General features: G+C 54.0%; 4 annotated features.

Moving 5' to 3' along the window:
- Positions 2,386 to 3,209: an enhancer, noted in NCBI's record as "H3K4me1 hESC enhancer chr11:119656890-119657713 (GRCh37/hg19 assembly coordinates)". NCBI's record gives its function as "activates a minimal SCP1, AML or CMV promoter by ChIP-STARR-seq in primed H9 embryonic stem cells {active_cell/tissue: H9 hESC(primed)}" and the evidence as "EXISTENCE:reporter gene assay evidence [ECO:0000049][PMID:30033119]".
- Positions 3,210 to 4,032: an enhancer, noted in NCBI's record as "H3K4me1 hESC enhancer chr11:119657714-119658536 (GRCh37/hg19 assembly coordinates)". NCBI's record gives its function as "activates a minimal SCP1, AML or CMV promoter by ChIP-STARR-seq in primed H9 embryonic stem cells {active_cell/tissue: H9 hESC(primed)}" and the evidence as "EXISTENCE:reporter gene assay evidence [ECO:0000049][PMID:30033119]".
- Positions 4,450 to 4,987: an enhancer, noted in NCBI's record as "H3K4me1 hESC enhancer chr11:119658954-119659491 (GRCh37/hg19 assembly coordinates)". NCBI's record gives its function as "activates a minimal SCP1, AML or CMV promoter by ChIP-STARR-seq in primed H9 embryonic stem cells {active_cell/tissue: H9 hESC(primed)}" and the evidence as "EXISTENCE:reporter gene assay evidence [ECO:0000049][PMID:30033119]".
- Positions 11,846 to 12,467: an enhancer, noted in NCBI's record as "H3K27ac-H3K4me1 hESC enhancer chr11:119666350-119666971 (GRCh37/hg19 assembly coordinates)". NCBI's record gives its function as "activates a minimal SCP1, AML or CMV promoter by ChIP-STARR-seq in naive H9 embryonic stem cells {active_cell/tissue: H9 hESC(naive)}" and the evidence as "EXISTENCE:reporter gene assay evidence [ECO:0000049][PMID:30033119]".

The following is a 14,800-nucleotide window of genomic DNA, read 5'->3' on the forward strand; positions in this document are numbered from 1 at the left end:
ACATGCTGGTCTTGACCTGCAGGCTGTCTCCTGGGTCTGTTCTGAGCTCACCCATCTGAGGGTGTTTAATCCTTTTGCGGTGATTTAAAATATGTATGCAATTATTTGATGTTCCCTTTAAAAGATGGAGCCAATTCTCCTCCCTTGAGTGTGGGCTGGACTTTGAGGCTCAGTTTTCACAAATAGAATATGGCAGAAGTTATGCCATGTGACTTCTGAGACTAGGTCATAAAAAGTATTGTGGTTTTCTCCTGGCTCTGTGGGAAGCAGCTGCCCTGTTATGAAGACACTCACACAACCTCTTTATGAAACCTCCCCGTGGTGGGGAACTGAGGCGTCCTGCCCAGCACCATGCAAGTGAGCCACCTGGGAGGTGGATCTTCCAACCCCGGTTCTGCCTTCAGATGCCTGAAGCTTTGGCCAACTTCTTGACTGTGGCCACATGAGAGGACTTGAGCCAGAACCACCCAGCCAACATTCTCTCACAGCCTGTGACTCACACAAACTGAGATGATAAACATTTCTTTGTTTAAGCCAATAAGTTTGGGGATAATTTGTTACACAGCAATAGATAATGAATGTATCCCAAACTTGTTTGTTTTCCTCAGGTGTTTGGCAATTTGCAGGAAGGATTTTAACTCACTTTCCATTTTCTGCTAGGGGGAAATCAATGCCCATGGTGGCTGGGGCCCACCCACCTGTTTCATAAGGACCTGGGAGGCTGAGAGGGGGGCCGTGTTACCACTTCCTCCTCCAGCGGGTGTCATCCTCCACCTTTCTGGCCCTGCGAAGCAGGGAAAATTCTCTGTCCTAACCCTAATGCCAGCCGCAGCCTCAGCCCTATCTCCTAGGCACATGTGTTATCTGAAGGCCTTCAGCCGTGTTCACCCCAAACCCTTTTCTTTAGTTGAAAGAAAAGGGCCTCAGCTCTTAAAGCCTCCACAAAGCCTCAGAGGTTCCTTGGACTGCTGGGTTACATGCTGAACCCGATGGATCCCAGCAGGCAGGGGTGTACATGGCAGAGTGGAAGTCCAGTGGGGGAAAAATACAGATAGAAGTCAGAGAGCTTTAGTTATGCTGCTCGTGAGGTCCCGTAGAAATTGCACAATTTCTTTTACCCTTTTGGGCCTCTGTTATCTCATCTGTAAAATGGGGCCTATAGTATTTGTCCTGTGTACTTACAAGATTGCTGTGGGATCAAATGAGAAAATAAATGTAAAAGTGTTTCATAAACTATAAAACACTTGACAAATGTGAGGATCAAAAACAAACGATTACAGAATTGCAGGTTTAGTCATCATTTGATCTAGCATTTTGTGAATACTTGCTATGCACCAGGGCTTCACATGCATTGCCTTATTTAATCTTGACAAGCTATTGCTGACAAGGTGCTATTATTTCCATCTCCCACTTTTGGATTAGGAAACCAGGGCTCAGTGAGGTGAACTGACTTGCTTGAAGCCCATGCACCCATTGCCACATTTCCTAACCTGGGCCCTGACATGAATGACCACTCCTTGAAGAATTCAGAGAAATGGTGAGGCCCGTGAATAGCCCTGGGCTCTGGCCCCTTAGTTCCTCTCCCTGCTTCCTCCATCTGTCTGGCAGCTCCTCACCATCCTAAGTGTTTCCTTGGAGGCAAGACCCAGCCGAACATGCTTTATCTTGGGTGTGTCCTGGGGGAGCAGGAGCAAGATGTCTGCATAGCAAGCAGCAAACTGGCTCAGATTCTCTCAGGAACCATAAACCAAGCCCTGGTTTAGATGTGGTTTAGAACTACAGGAGGAGGCTGGGTGGGGTGGCTCATGCCTGTAATCCCAGCACTTTGGGAGGCTGAGGTGGGTGGATCACCTAAGGTCAGGAGTTCGAGACCAGCCTGGCCAACATGGTGAAACCCCGTTTCTACTAAAAATGCAAAAAAATTAGGCAGGCATGGTGGTGCATGCCTGTAATCCCAGTTGCTCGGGAAGCTGAGGCAGCCGAGATTACGCCACTGCACTCCAGCCTGGGTGACAGAGCCAGACTCTGTCTCAAACAAACAAACAAACAAAAACTATAGGGGGAGATTTGGTCTGTGAGAAGTTAAAAGCTCAGTTTGCAGCAGATAAGTTCTGGGAGATGGTCCCAGAGAGAGGTGGGTATCCATTAGCACTTGCGGCTTTGAAATCAGTGGTTTCCTGGGGTGGGGGATGGGGAAGGATATAAGGGAACTCTCTCAGGTGACGGAAATATTATGATGGGCTGGTGGTTACACAGGTGTACATGTTTGTCAGAATTCATTTTCTATACTCTTAAAATGGGTACACTTTATGTAAAGTATATGTCAATAAAAGTAATTTTTTAAAAAGGCACTTTTTCTCTTCTGAAATGAAGATAGTTTCTATTACTCAAATAAACAGACCTATCATTTGAACACGCACACACAAAATAAGACAAAAATGGGTGTGATTAGATATGTGTGTGTGTTTTCTTTTCTTTCTTTCTTTTTTTTTTTTTAAGAAAACCCCCCTGGCCTCCATCTGGAGACAAAATTGAATGGGAACAGGTGTTCCCATTCACTCGTGTGAGAAATTATCACACGAGTCCAGGCAAGCCAGGATGTCGGTGTGGACTCCAGTGATGGTGTGGATGGAGAAAGGGAGACAGAGGAACTGCTGGGACATGGAGCTTCCTTCCCTCTGGTCTAGGGACTATCCTTGGCCTTCCGCTGGGCTCAAGGTTGGAGACTGGTCCCAGGTGAGACCAGGGGCTGCAAGGGAAGGACTCACATTCTGCCAAGCGCACATTTGTGGGTAGACACGCTTCCAGGCCTCTGCCCTTGCACTCCTTGAGCCCAGGCAGCCGACAGGCACATGGGCCTTGCCTTCCCTCCTGCTGCCATGCTTGCTGGCTCCCTAGCCCAGCCACACCTCAGGCTTTTGCAGCCTAGAGGACTCGGGTGTGAATCTGACCCCCTCCCTTGTCAGCTGTGTGGCCTCAGTCAGTGGCAGTCCCTTGAGCCTCATTTTTCTCATCTGTAAAATGGCAACAACAGCCACAGTGCCTGCAGGGTGCTATGTAGATTGGCCGAGCCTAAAGGCAGAGGTAATTCATACCATTCCTGCATGTCACAAATGCTTGGCCTGATGATTTGCATTTCACATTCGCTCTCTCTTTCACTTACACTCCAAAATTAGCAGAAGGTGCAGCAGGGAAGGGTAATTCATTTCTCTACAGAATCGGTCACTTGCCCGGAGCACCCCTTCCTGTCCTGGGGTCCCCGCACCTGCTCTAGCCCCACCTCCCTTCTGGCCGGACCCTCCTGGGTTTGCCCAGGAGCCCCACTCACCTTGCTCGAGTGGGCATCAGCCCACCCTTCATCCTGTGCTCGTGCAGGTGGGCAGGGCTGGAGGCGCAGAGCACAGCCCACCCATGGAGGGCCTGACTCCCTCATCAGCCCATCCTGTAGGATTGCACCTGGTCCCCAGGAGCCAGGCCCGCTCCCAGCCCTCCTGGGAGGCCAAGGTAATTGGCTCAATTAATCAGCTCAATTAGCACCTTCTGGGTGAGCGAGCAGCTCAAAGCCTGCCCAGCCTCAGTCAAGGGTGCCCAGCCTGCCATCAGCTGCTGTGTGCCAGACCCAGTGCTGGGCATGACAGTAGGGGCAGAGGGCTCCCTGCCCCTCCCTAGCCCCCACCAGCCACTGGGGTAGGGGTCAAGCTACCAACAAGAGAGCACCTCAGGCCTCTGTCCTTGGAGAGGGCTCCCCACCACTGCCTGTCCTCGTCCCCACCACTCCCCTGCCAGTCCCTGCCAGCTCCTTTGTCCTTGTTGGGTCCAGCAGCCTCCCATGCTGAATCCCCAGTCTCTGCTGGTCTCTGCTCTGGGACCCTCGTTGTGCATTCAGAGCTCAGCTGTGGTGGGAAAGGTAAACTGCTCATCCCTGATTCCTGTTCCCTGCCCCCTGCCAGATGGATATACAGATTTTTTTTTTTTTTTTTGAGACGGAGTTTTGCTTTTGTTGCCCAGCCTGGAGTGCAATGGCGAGATCTCGGCTCACTGCAAACCTCCACCTCCCTGGTTCAAGCAATTCTCCTGTCCCAGCCTCCCAAGTATCTGGGATTACAGGCGCATGCCACCACGCCCAGCTAATTTTTGTTTTTGTTTTTTTTTTTCAGTAGAGACAGGGTTTTCACCATGTTGGCCAGGCTGGTCTTGAACTCCTAACTTCAGGTGGTCCATTTCACAGATAAGGAAATAGACTCACAGACATTTGACATCTCACATCACAGCACACAGCAAATAGGTGGGGGCTGGGAGGTTGTGGGGGCCTACTGGGGTCTGGAGTGCCCCAGCCCCAGGGGAAGCTGCCTGGGCCTCTGGTCAGCACCCTACATAGAGCGCTCCCCACCATCCTCACTGGGTTGGCTGAAGATAGAGAGGAGGAGCCAGGGCCTCTGCTTGGGGTGAGATGGGAGATGGGGGAACAAAGGGCAGAGGAGATACTTTCTCCTCCGGACACTTTTGCTGAACGTGGCAGCCAGGGGCCCTCTGTGGCTTTCGCATCGATGACTTATGACTGGCTGCACAGGTGACCCGTTAGCAAGGCCTTCTCTCCCCTCTGAGTGGGACACAGACCCCAAGTCTGGCCACCCCTGTATCTGATTCCGGTTTCCCTATCCAAAGAGGCCCAGATGGCCCCTCAGCCTCCTCTCCTGAATCTCTAACATGCAGCTGAGTCTTGGAGGTCTAGGTACACAGCCAGGGAGATGAGGTGGGCTGCCCCATGTGCTGGCCTTGGTCCCCGACTCTCCCCACTCCTTGGCCATGTCTCCTTTATCCAGAAGAGGGACCCTGGACCCCAGTCTGTGGAGAGACTCTGACCTCCCCGGATGCTGGCTGCCTGGGCAGAGTGGAGCAGAGAGCAGGCAGTCCCCAGGGAAGGAGCAGGCAGACCCTGCAGGGCGAGAGCCAACATGGGCGGGGGTGATGACGTGGGCCCTGGAGGTGAGGTCCCCTGGGGTGCCCACAGAAATGGTCCCCATGTGTTCCTGCTCTCCCAGGTGTATTCTCTACCCTCAAACTGCTGCTTCTTCCCAAACTTCAGAGATCTACCCTAGCGTCAGGACAAGGAAGCAGAGTGGCGAGGATTGTTTGGTTTCTTTTTTTTTTTCTTTTTTCTTGGGGGCTGGTTGGGTGAGTTATTTCTCATCTCCTCATGTCCCCAGGAGTCCTGTGCCCCGGGCCGGTGGGATGTTGACAGCTCCTTTGGTTGTCGAGGCGGCTGGGCTGAGCACATGGCGGCATTGGGAGGGCCTGCAGGAAGACTCATTTCCTGACTGACTGACAAACAGAGGTGATACAATCTCTCTCATCCCTTCCCCGGGGAGCCCGCTTACAGAGGAGTTCAGCCTGAGCCATCTCTGCCGTCAAACGCACCTCTCTGTCCCATGGAGATAAACTCATCACACTCGAAGGCAGGCAGGGAGGCCTGGGAGGGCTGTCGAGGCTGGCGTGTAGGGGGCACCACCACCCACGCACCTGCCCGCCTCTTGGCCCTGCTCTGGGTGCCTGGCGGCTGTCAGGGTGGAGGTCTTACCAAGAGCACTTCTCTCCTCTCCTCTGTCCTTCACGAAGGTCGTGGGAGGATGGCTGATGGTGGGGCTCCTCGCCCGTACTGGAGGAGTGGAGGGGCAGGTAGGAAGAGGAGGGGGTGAGCTGTCACCCCGGGAAGGGAGACAGAGACAGACAGCAGCTCAGCGTGCATGGGTCCACATGGCAGGCCCCTCTCTGGTCCTCTCTGGATCCCTAGCTGAGGGTCCAAGTCTGTCCCCGGGAACTGGACTGAGAGTTGGCCTTTCTGGGCCTCTACTTACCTCAACTGAAACATGAATGGAAAAGTAGGATGGCAACTTTGAGCTTTTGGGGGTCATGGATCCTTCTGGAATGAATGTGACAAAGGCGACAGACCCCTCCCTGTCCAGAGGCTCACGGTGCATGTGCGGACACGGGCGTGTGTGCACACAGGCACTTTGGCCTCCTATCTGTGGGTATGCAAAGACCCCCCAAAGGCCCACCACAGTCTCCAGCTCAGTAGTGCTAGACTCCATGGCTTCTGGTCTTGCCGAACATGTGTGCGCTGTGTGTGTGCAGCAAGACTGCTAAGGAAGCTGGGAGGCCTGGGCTGGCTGGGAGTCTCAGGTTGGCCTGGCCCAGCCTTGCTTTTGCTGATGGCATATGTGTGTGCACAGGCTGGGGTTGGCATGACTCCAACCCCAGTGTTGACACTGACACTTGCCATCAGGGCTTGTCCCCTCTTTCTAGCCACAAATCCTTCCAGCCCCCTCACACTCATTCCTGGTGGCCACACTAAATGTCCCACGGGCCATAGATATGCATTTGGGAGGTTGAGGCAGCTGGGGGCCTGTTGGAGCTGTGCAGGAGGCGGGGCTCTCTGTGGGAGCTAGAGCAAGCTAGCATGGGGGCTGTCACCATCCTGGGTGTGTCCCCGGCCCCGGCAAGACAGAGCTTGCCTGGGCTCCCCCTGTCTTGCCCTGAATTAGAAGATGACATTGCCGGAGAGACTGGACACTTTGAAAAAGCTCCTTGCTTTCTGAGCTGAAATCTGTCCTCATCTACATCATCTCTCTAATCTTTTATGAAGGGACAGTAATGGAAATACTGTTAGAGAACGCCTGCTGGGTACCATGTTTTTGTTTAATTCTTACAGTGACACTACAAGGGAAGCCGACCCGGAGCCCAGGCACAGAGGCAGGGAGGGGCTTGCCTGACACCATTTGGGACAAGAGTCAAACCAGGTCCATCTGATCACAGACTAGTGTCGTTAGCCGTGCACTGTCCCAGGAGCTTCTGTGGGGACACCAGGGAATGACTGAGGCCACACTCGGTCACCCCACAAGCTAGTACCATCACACAGATGCCGACAGGACAGCAGAATGATGGCATCAGACTGAAGCTGGAACATGAAGGCAGAGGCCCAGCACCGTGTGTGCATGTGGTGGGGGGTGTGCACACTTGCATACACACACACACACGCATAAGTGCATATCTGCATCTATTCTTGCGTTTGCATATGTGTGTATTGTGTGTGTGCAAATCTCACTTGAATACTAAAGAAAATGTTAATACCCAATTCTACAACCATATATGGTACTGCAGCTATGCCCCCTTAAGAGGAGGGAGAGAGGGCTGCCTGGACAAATTCTGGGGAGGCTTCTGGGAGGAGGGAGTGCTTAGGCAGGGCGTCAGGAATTGGTGAGGATCAGGGCTGCAGCTAAGAGTCTTTTTGTGCACGACAGAAAGCGCGTCCAGCAAAGCCCAGCTCAGGGCCCTTCTGGCTTTCATTTCAAGCTTGGGCTTTTTGTTTGGCTAATCCAGATCCTCCTCTTCCTGGGCCTTGTGTGTGTGCACATGTGGGCAGGGGCTGGGGTGAGGACAGGCGTGCTTCCAAGTTGAATGGAGGTTCCTCCCTTGGGGTGCTGCAGTGGTTGAGGCTCCCTGCCTGGTCCTGTCCAGACCCTCCTGTCCTCTGACAGCCAGAGAGTCTGCACATCCCTCACTGGTGCAGGACGGCTGGGGCAGGAGGGATGCACGGAGCTCCAGGAGTGCAGGCTACTGCCCTGACACTTGCCCCACTCACTGTCTGGGCACCCTTAACCAGCTTCCTGCTGTGAGGACCCTGCTGCTCACTGTGTGTGAGGGTGAGTGTGAGTGAGTGAGAGAGAGAAAGAAAGAGAGAAACGGAAATAGCTTGAGGGCATCTTGGTGTGGGGACCCTGGATGCGAGAAGTGGCTGACATGGAAGCTGGACGGTGGCCCCCTGCCCTTTCCATCCCTTTCTCTGGTCTGGACTGAGTGAGCGTTGTGTGGGGCCCCCCTTGCTTGGTTGTACCTCCAGAGGCAGCCTGGACCCAAGAAGGCAGCTCATGCAACCCCAGCCACAAAGCAGGAGGGCCCTTTAACCAGCCTCCCGTGTCCCTGCTCCCCCTCCCCTCCTACTGATACTCCATAACCTCTGCGTACAGCAAACCGAGGGGACAGGAGGCCTCCCGTGGAGCTGAACTAAATCCCACATGCCACAGCCCAGGAAGGCTTTTCCTCGGAAGGCACCGAGGCCCCAGGACTAGGAGCAAGATTGCAAGTCTCCTGTCTCCCCCATCTCCTGTGGCTGTGTGGAGGCTGGGCTGGGCTAGCTTCCCAGCTCAGTGGGTGGCTGAGAGTTACTCAGCTTCATCTCTATGAGCAAACAGCAGTGGCTCAGCAGGGAGGGCAGAGTGGGGCTGGCCCACCCTGAGCTTGTGTTGCCAAATTTGTTTGTGTTTATTTTGGTTCCTCTGCATGACATGGAAACAAATGTGCTAGGTCCCCCTTGCTCTGTCGGCTCCTCAGTGGGTGGTGACAAGGGAGCTCAGGCCTACCCCTTTCTTCATAGAGAGATTCCCTCACTTCTGCCCTGTTTCCAGTTCCCTAAGGAAAGGTTGGGGCTGGCGGGGTGTGGTGGCTCATGCCTGTAATCCCAGCACTTTGAGAGGCCGAGGTGGGCGAATCACGAGGTCAGGAGTTCAAGACCAGCCTGGCCAACGTGGTGAAACCCTGTCTCTACAAAAATACAAAAATTAGCTGGTGTGGTGGCGTGTGCCTGTAATCCCAGCCACTCGGAAGGCTGAGGTGGGAGAATCACTTGAACCCAGGAGGCAGACGTTGCAGTGAGCCAAGATTGTGCCACTGCACTCCAGCCTGGGTGACAGAGTGAGACTCTATCTCAAAAAAAAAAAAAAAAAAAAGGTTGGGGCTGCGGTGCAGGGATGGGGAGAAGCCATGCGGGTGGGGCAGGAGTCAGGAGGCCAGGGTTTCTTGCTAGCTCCCTAGGATTTTGAATAACAGGGGCTCCCATTTAATAAGCACCTACTAAGTGCTTTGCATTCATTCACTGAGACAGACTTACTATTACAAATACCTACTGTCAAGCTTGGTCCTGGGAGTACAGCAGTAGCAAAAAAGAAAAAAATCCTTGCTCTCATGAAGTGTATCTTTTATTGACCCTATGATAGACAGGGATTCTCTCCTCATTTTACAGATAAGGAAACTGAGGCTCAGAAAGATACCTGGTTTACTGGAAATCACTCACCATGGTCCTCTCTGGGCCTTGAACCCTCTTCAGCCTCCGTTTCCTCCCCCTGTAAAAATGAGGAGTCAGGTGAGAGGAGCTCCTGGCTCCCTTCCACCTCTAATTGTCTATGTGGAGGGGCTGAAATTTGGAGGGAGCATTTTCAAGGGGTACAGATGTGTGCCAGTGCTTGAAGAAAATGGAGGAAATGGCTTGGCACTGGTTTGGAGTGGGCGTTGAGCCTGGGACACAGCTTAGTGGCTTGTGCTTTTGGGGGCCAGGCCCTACTGCTCTGAGAAAGTCCTCTCATCCTTGAATCAACAACAAAATTCTCCCAGAGAAGAGGCTCTACCTTTGTTCTGGCCCCCTGCATTCCATGCTGTGCACCACGTCACCCCTTAGCTAGGAGGTCCCAGGCCCCTGGTTCTTAAAGAGAGAAGCTACAGGAAGAATGTCTGCCTGGGCCGTCTCTGCTTCTTATCCCCAGCCTCCAGCTCCAAATCCAAGGGCCTCTCCTTCCTGAATTGACCTGGTGTGGGGCAACTGGCAGTGAAAGGCCTTGCTTGGAACCCCCATGGGAATGGGTGTGTTCTGCTCCCAGGGTTCTTCCAGCCCGCAGAGGCATTAAGGACATGTGGGGAGGCCCACACCCTGACTCACTTGCATCCACCGGGCCCACAGCTGAGCAGTTAATTAGGAGCACAAGGGCTTGGGGAGCTCATAGACATGACTTGGAGGCTGTGGGGAGCCGAGGAGAAAGGTGCGGCTTTTCCACCTGAGGGATGAGAAGGCTGGGACACTGAGTGGGGTGAGTGTGTGGGGTGGCAGGGGGCCGGCAAAGGGAAGGCTCAGTGCTGCCCTGTTCTGGTGGCCCCAAGGTTAGCACAGAGCAGATGATCTGAGCTCCACAGTGTCAGGGTCAGACCGGAGCAAGGGCTCCCTGGCTAGAGAGCTCCTCGTGCTGAGCTGGGTGGAGCTGTTCCTGGAAGGTCTTTAACATTGGCTAAGCCCCGAACACCTGTGGCTATGAAAGCGCAGCTCAGCTGGGGGAAGAGGGCTGGAATTAGTGACCCCTGCTCCTTTCTGACCTCAGTTTCCAGGATTTTACCTCAAAACAGCATTGCCCACTTATTAGGAAGGACCAGTATTGGGCAGCTACTCCCATGGTGATGGGGTTCAATGACCTCTGACTCCCTCCTGTGCAGAGAGGGTCAGAGGGTCATTTCACCCACTCCTCTGCCTCTGCCTCCACTGCCCTCCAAGGCAGCCCAGAAACTCACCCGCTTTTCCAGAACCGCCCCCCACCCCCAGCCTTGCCACAGCTCTTCTCCTACCAGCTCTTCCATTGGGCAGTTCTTCTTTGGGTCTGCCCTGCAGCAACACCAACTAGTGGGGAATCCCCTGGTGAGCCCAGCCCTCCCCGCCGTTGGGGGTCTCGGGAAATGTATTGCTTGTGGCAGCGTGTCAGTGGGTTTGGAGTGGCACGGCTGGGCGGGCCTGACAGCAGAAATTGGAAGCCGGCTGCGTTTGACAGGTATATTATTCCCGCTGCCCTCGATTTATTTACCAAACAGCATGCGGAGCCCCAGAAAGCTCCCGGAAAGAAGGAGGGAGTGGAAGTGGAGGGGCTCTGCAAGGGAGGTCAGGTGGCCTCCGTGCTCCAACATTGGCACTGTGTAGGGAAGAGGAACGGGGAGCCGGGTGGGTGTGGGAGGCTGGGGCCCCCAAGAGAGCTCACCCCAAGTTTCTCCATCTGGCTTAGAGCTGCCTGTGGGACTTTCCTTCCAGGCCTCAGGAAGAGGGGCTTCCCAAGCATTTTGGGTCCAGGGCCAGGGGTTCTCGGTCAAAGTCAAGTGAGGGGCTATGTCTCAGAGGTGGTTTAGGGCAGGACCCTGCCATGCCTAGTGCACAGGGAAAGAGATGGAGATGCTGAGGAGGGCAGGGACCCCTCAGCAGGTGCCTGGGAAGAGCAGAGCGGCTATGCGTGCTGTACAGGTGCAGGTGCCCATGGGCACAGCCAAGGGGTGAGTGAGGTCTGAGCTTGAGCCCATGCTCTGGTTGCCAAGTAGGGCACATGGCACAGAGCTGTGTTGACCTGAAGAGAATGCCTCTTTCCAGTTGGTACAAACATGCTGTGTAGGCCGGTGACCAGCTATGAGGATAAGCAGAATATTTGAAGCCACACAGACAGGCATCCCTGCCCACCTTGGTTCATACAACCCATGGGACCCTGGAAAGGGCCCCCGGCATCTCTGAGCTTTCCTTTCCTCACAGTAAATGATAATAACCAAAATGCCACTTCTTGGGGCTATTGAGAGGAATAAATAAGATAATCTGCATAAGAATGCTTTGTAAGCAGTAAAACATATAGCTTTTTAAAGGGCATGTAAATGAGTATTGAGAAAAGGCAGCGTGAGCATTGCCGCGCGCATTCAGTGCTGGATGGTGTGAGTCACCGGCTGTGAGGCTGGGAATGTCTGAGTGTGTTTGGCAGGTCAGGTGGGGTGTATGTTGGAACGTGGGTGTGGGACTGTGTCTGCCCAGATGTGGATTTGCTCTGAGTAAGATGAGGAAACTCATCAGAAAAGTCCTTGGCTGCTGCGGACGGATCTGAGAGTGTGCGGCTGGTATCTGAGTGTGACCGCAGGCTGGTGTGCACGTGTGTACCAGTGAGGGTGTGAGGATGGGTGCCTGACTTTGCAATGGGCATGGCGAGATTGTGATTGGGCATTAGGAAGGCACAGGCCCATGGATGCAAGTGAGTCAGGGTGTTGGAGTCAGTGTGCAAGACCATCTGCAGGGTCAGGGGTGTTTAGTGTGCACATATATGGCATGCACACACGTGCACACATGCACACATGCACAGTGAAAGCAGGCTTGGCAGTGTCAGCAGTATACCTCCTACCTCTGAACCTGATGCAAAATTCATGGAGCATAGGATTCTAGAAATGCAGAGAAGGAGGGGGAGGCAGGCCCCTCCGGAACAGTGAGTCACAGGACAGCGAGGGGCTGAATGTAGAATCCCTTCCTCCCCTCATGAGCTCTGAGGCTCAGAGAGGCTGCCTGCCCATCTATTTCTTCCCAGCTTCTGCTCTGGGGCCTTCCTTGGGATGTCATAATGATCCATATTCTGTAACACATCAACGCTGGAAGTCTAGCTGCCCTTGGCCAGCGCAGATGCTGGGGAGTGGAGGCAGGGGAGAGAGGGAAGCATTGGGACCCCCCAATGGTCCCAATTCATACAGGCCTCTGGGCCCCATCAGATGAGCAGGTGATGGTACCAGGGCAGTGAGGCACCAAGGCATCTCTGGAATAGTGAGTACCCCCATGGTACTGGGGATCACAGTGGTAATTGGGGAGCAGCACCTTGAGTTGGGCAGTTTCCAGGGACCTCAGACAAACCTCTGTAGGCTCAGCACCTTCTTCTCTATGGTGGTCAGGCTGGAACGGAGACTCGGTGGAAGGTTCATCTATACCTGCCATTGGCCACTTTCCTATGATGGGGCAGGGCTCCTGGGCCTGACAGGGCAGGAGGACTTCCGGCCCCACACCCCATCCTTGCTCTAATGCTGGCATCCAGTCTCTGACTGTGGATCTGGCTGGGTTGTGGGGTGGGGCTGGAAGGGCTCCAAGATGAGCCAGGCGTGCTGACCCCCTTGGAGGAAGGCGCTGCAGAGGCCAGCAGGGGCACGCAGCACACCAGCTGGGAAGGAGACAGGAGCCCAGAGGGGCAGGGGCCCTGTCACGTCCATTTACACTCCATGTGCTGGAACTCGGCCCTCTAGGGAAGAGGAATGTGATGCCAGAGAGGCTGGGGGACATCTGTCTCCCCAGTTCAGGCCAAGACACACTCACTCATTGCTTGAAGCCCCATGGCCCTGTTCCTCCTGGGTCTCTAGACCCAATGGTTCCCTGTGTCCTCTCCCTCTGCCTGGCTGCTTGGCCATAGAGGCCATCTGCAAGCTTCCTGTTGGGCTCGGCCTGGGCAGTGCTGTATTTGTGTCTCTCCTGCCTGTCTCTGAACCAGCCTGCCTTCCCCCACCTCTGTCGCTGCCTTTCCCTCTGTTTCTCAGCCTTCATCCCTGCCTCTCTGTCCCTGCCCTCATCCTCCCCTCTCTTCTCTCTTCCCCTCCCCTTTCCTTTCTCCCTCCTTTTCTAATCTTGTCTCTCTCTGAACCTGAAGTGCTTTGGCATTAAATCCCATTCCCCATCCTCTCTTTAGATCCTCCCTGTGCCTCGGAAGGGTGGTAAATAAAGCGAGAGAGAGGCCGGGGAGCCAAGAGCCTTAAATGCTCCTCTCTGCACTGCCTGCAGCCCTTGTCTCCTGATGGGGACGTCACAGCCCCAGAGAAAAAGGGGGCTCCTGGGCCTCATGCCATCGTGTGCACAGGCACACACATGCACACACACGCCATGCTTTTGTGAGGAGGGGGAGGAGGCCTTCAAGTGGGAAAGAAAAGAAATCAAAGCACTCCCGGTGCTTCGTTTACATCAGGCTCTAAGTAGGTGGAGGGGAAGCAGAGGAGGGAGGAGCTGGGGGCAATAGGTCACACACGTGGCAGGAGGACTCAGCAGGGCAGGCACCTCGAGAGATCAGCCCCCAAGCTCCTGATCCTGAGGCTGTCAGCCTGAGATGGAGGGGTTGGGACCAGCCAGGCTGACCTGAGCACTGCCCGCGCCAGCCCCCAGACCCCTTAGCTGAGAGCTCAGAACCCTTCAGAACAGGCCCTGCCTTCCTCATCACTCCTGCCGTCCCCAGCCTGTATGCATGCCCCGTCTATGCGCCTGTCTTTTTATTGCACCTCACTGACATAGGATGCAGAGTTTCTAAAAACCCAAAATACACAAATAAACCTCCCCCGACCAAACACACACAGCTTGGGAGTCGGACAGCCAGGTTGGACCTGGGATGGGCTGCCATAAGCATACCTGGGCAGCCCGGTGGACAGCTCCACTCCCCTCTTTGTTTCTGGCCACCCAGCCATCTTCCCTTTGGGAAGTCAGCTCTCTGGCTGTCCCTTTTCCCATCCTGTCCTAGCCTTTTCTCAGCTGTGTTGGCCCTACTTTCCTGTTCCAGGGAGCAGGGGAGGTGCTTGACCCAGCCTGGCCAATGAGAGCTTTCATCGCCTGGACATGCAGATTGGTCCAGAGTCAGGGAAGTCAGCTTTAGAACATTTGCTGGGAATTTGGGGAAGGGGCTCTCTTTCCCCTGGCATTGCTAAACTGGTGGAAATATACCTGAAGCTGCTTTTTCACCACTCAGGAATACTCTTCCTGAGAATAAAGCCAGCACAGGACAGCAGGGCGAAGCAATAGAGAAAACAGATACTCAGTAACCTTGATCGAATGAATGCCTGGATACAACCATGTCTGAAACAATAAAACCATATTGTTTTCCTGGACTGCTCACTTATGAGAGCCAATTACTTTTTTCTTCTTGCTGAAGCCAGTTTGACTTGGGTTTCTGTCTCTTGCAAAGTAAGGGGTTAACTAATATAGAGAGGCAACTAAATTTCTTTGAACTTGAGTTTTCTCATCTGTAAAATTATCTCCCTTATGAATTCTAAAAGGACCGACTGAAGGCACTGAAGGATGCCTCGCAGGCCTGCTGTAAGGAGCACAGATTACTTTTGTGCAAAGCCTTTGGCCATTTCTATCTCACATGATCCTTTCACGAACTCTGGTAAGGTCTTA

This window comes from Homo sapiens, chromosome 11 (genome assembly GCF_000001405.40).
Source record: "Homo sapiens chromosome 11, GRCh38.p14 Primary Assembly".
Lineage (NCBI taxonomy): Eukaryota > Metazoa > Chordata > Mammalia > Primates > Hominidae > Homo > Homo sapiens.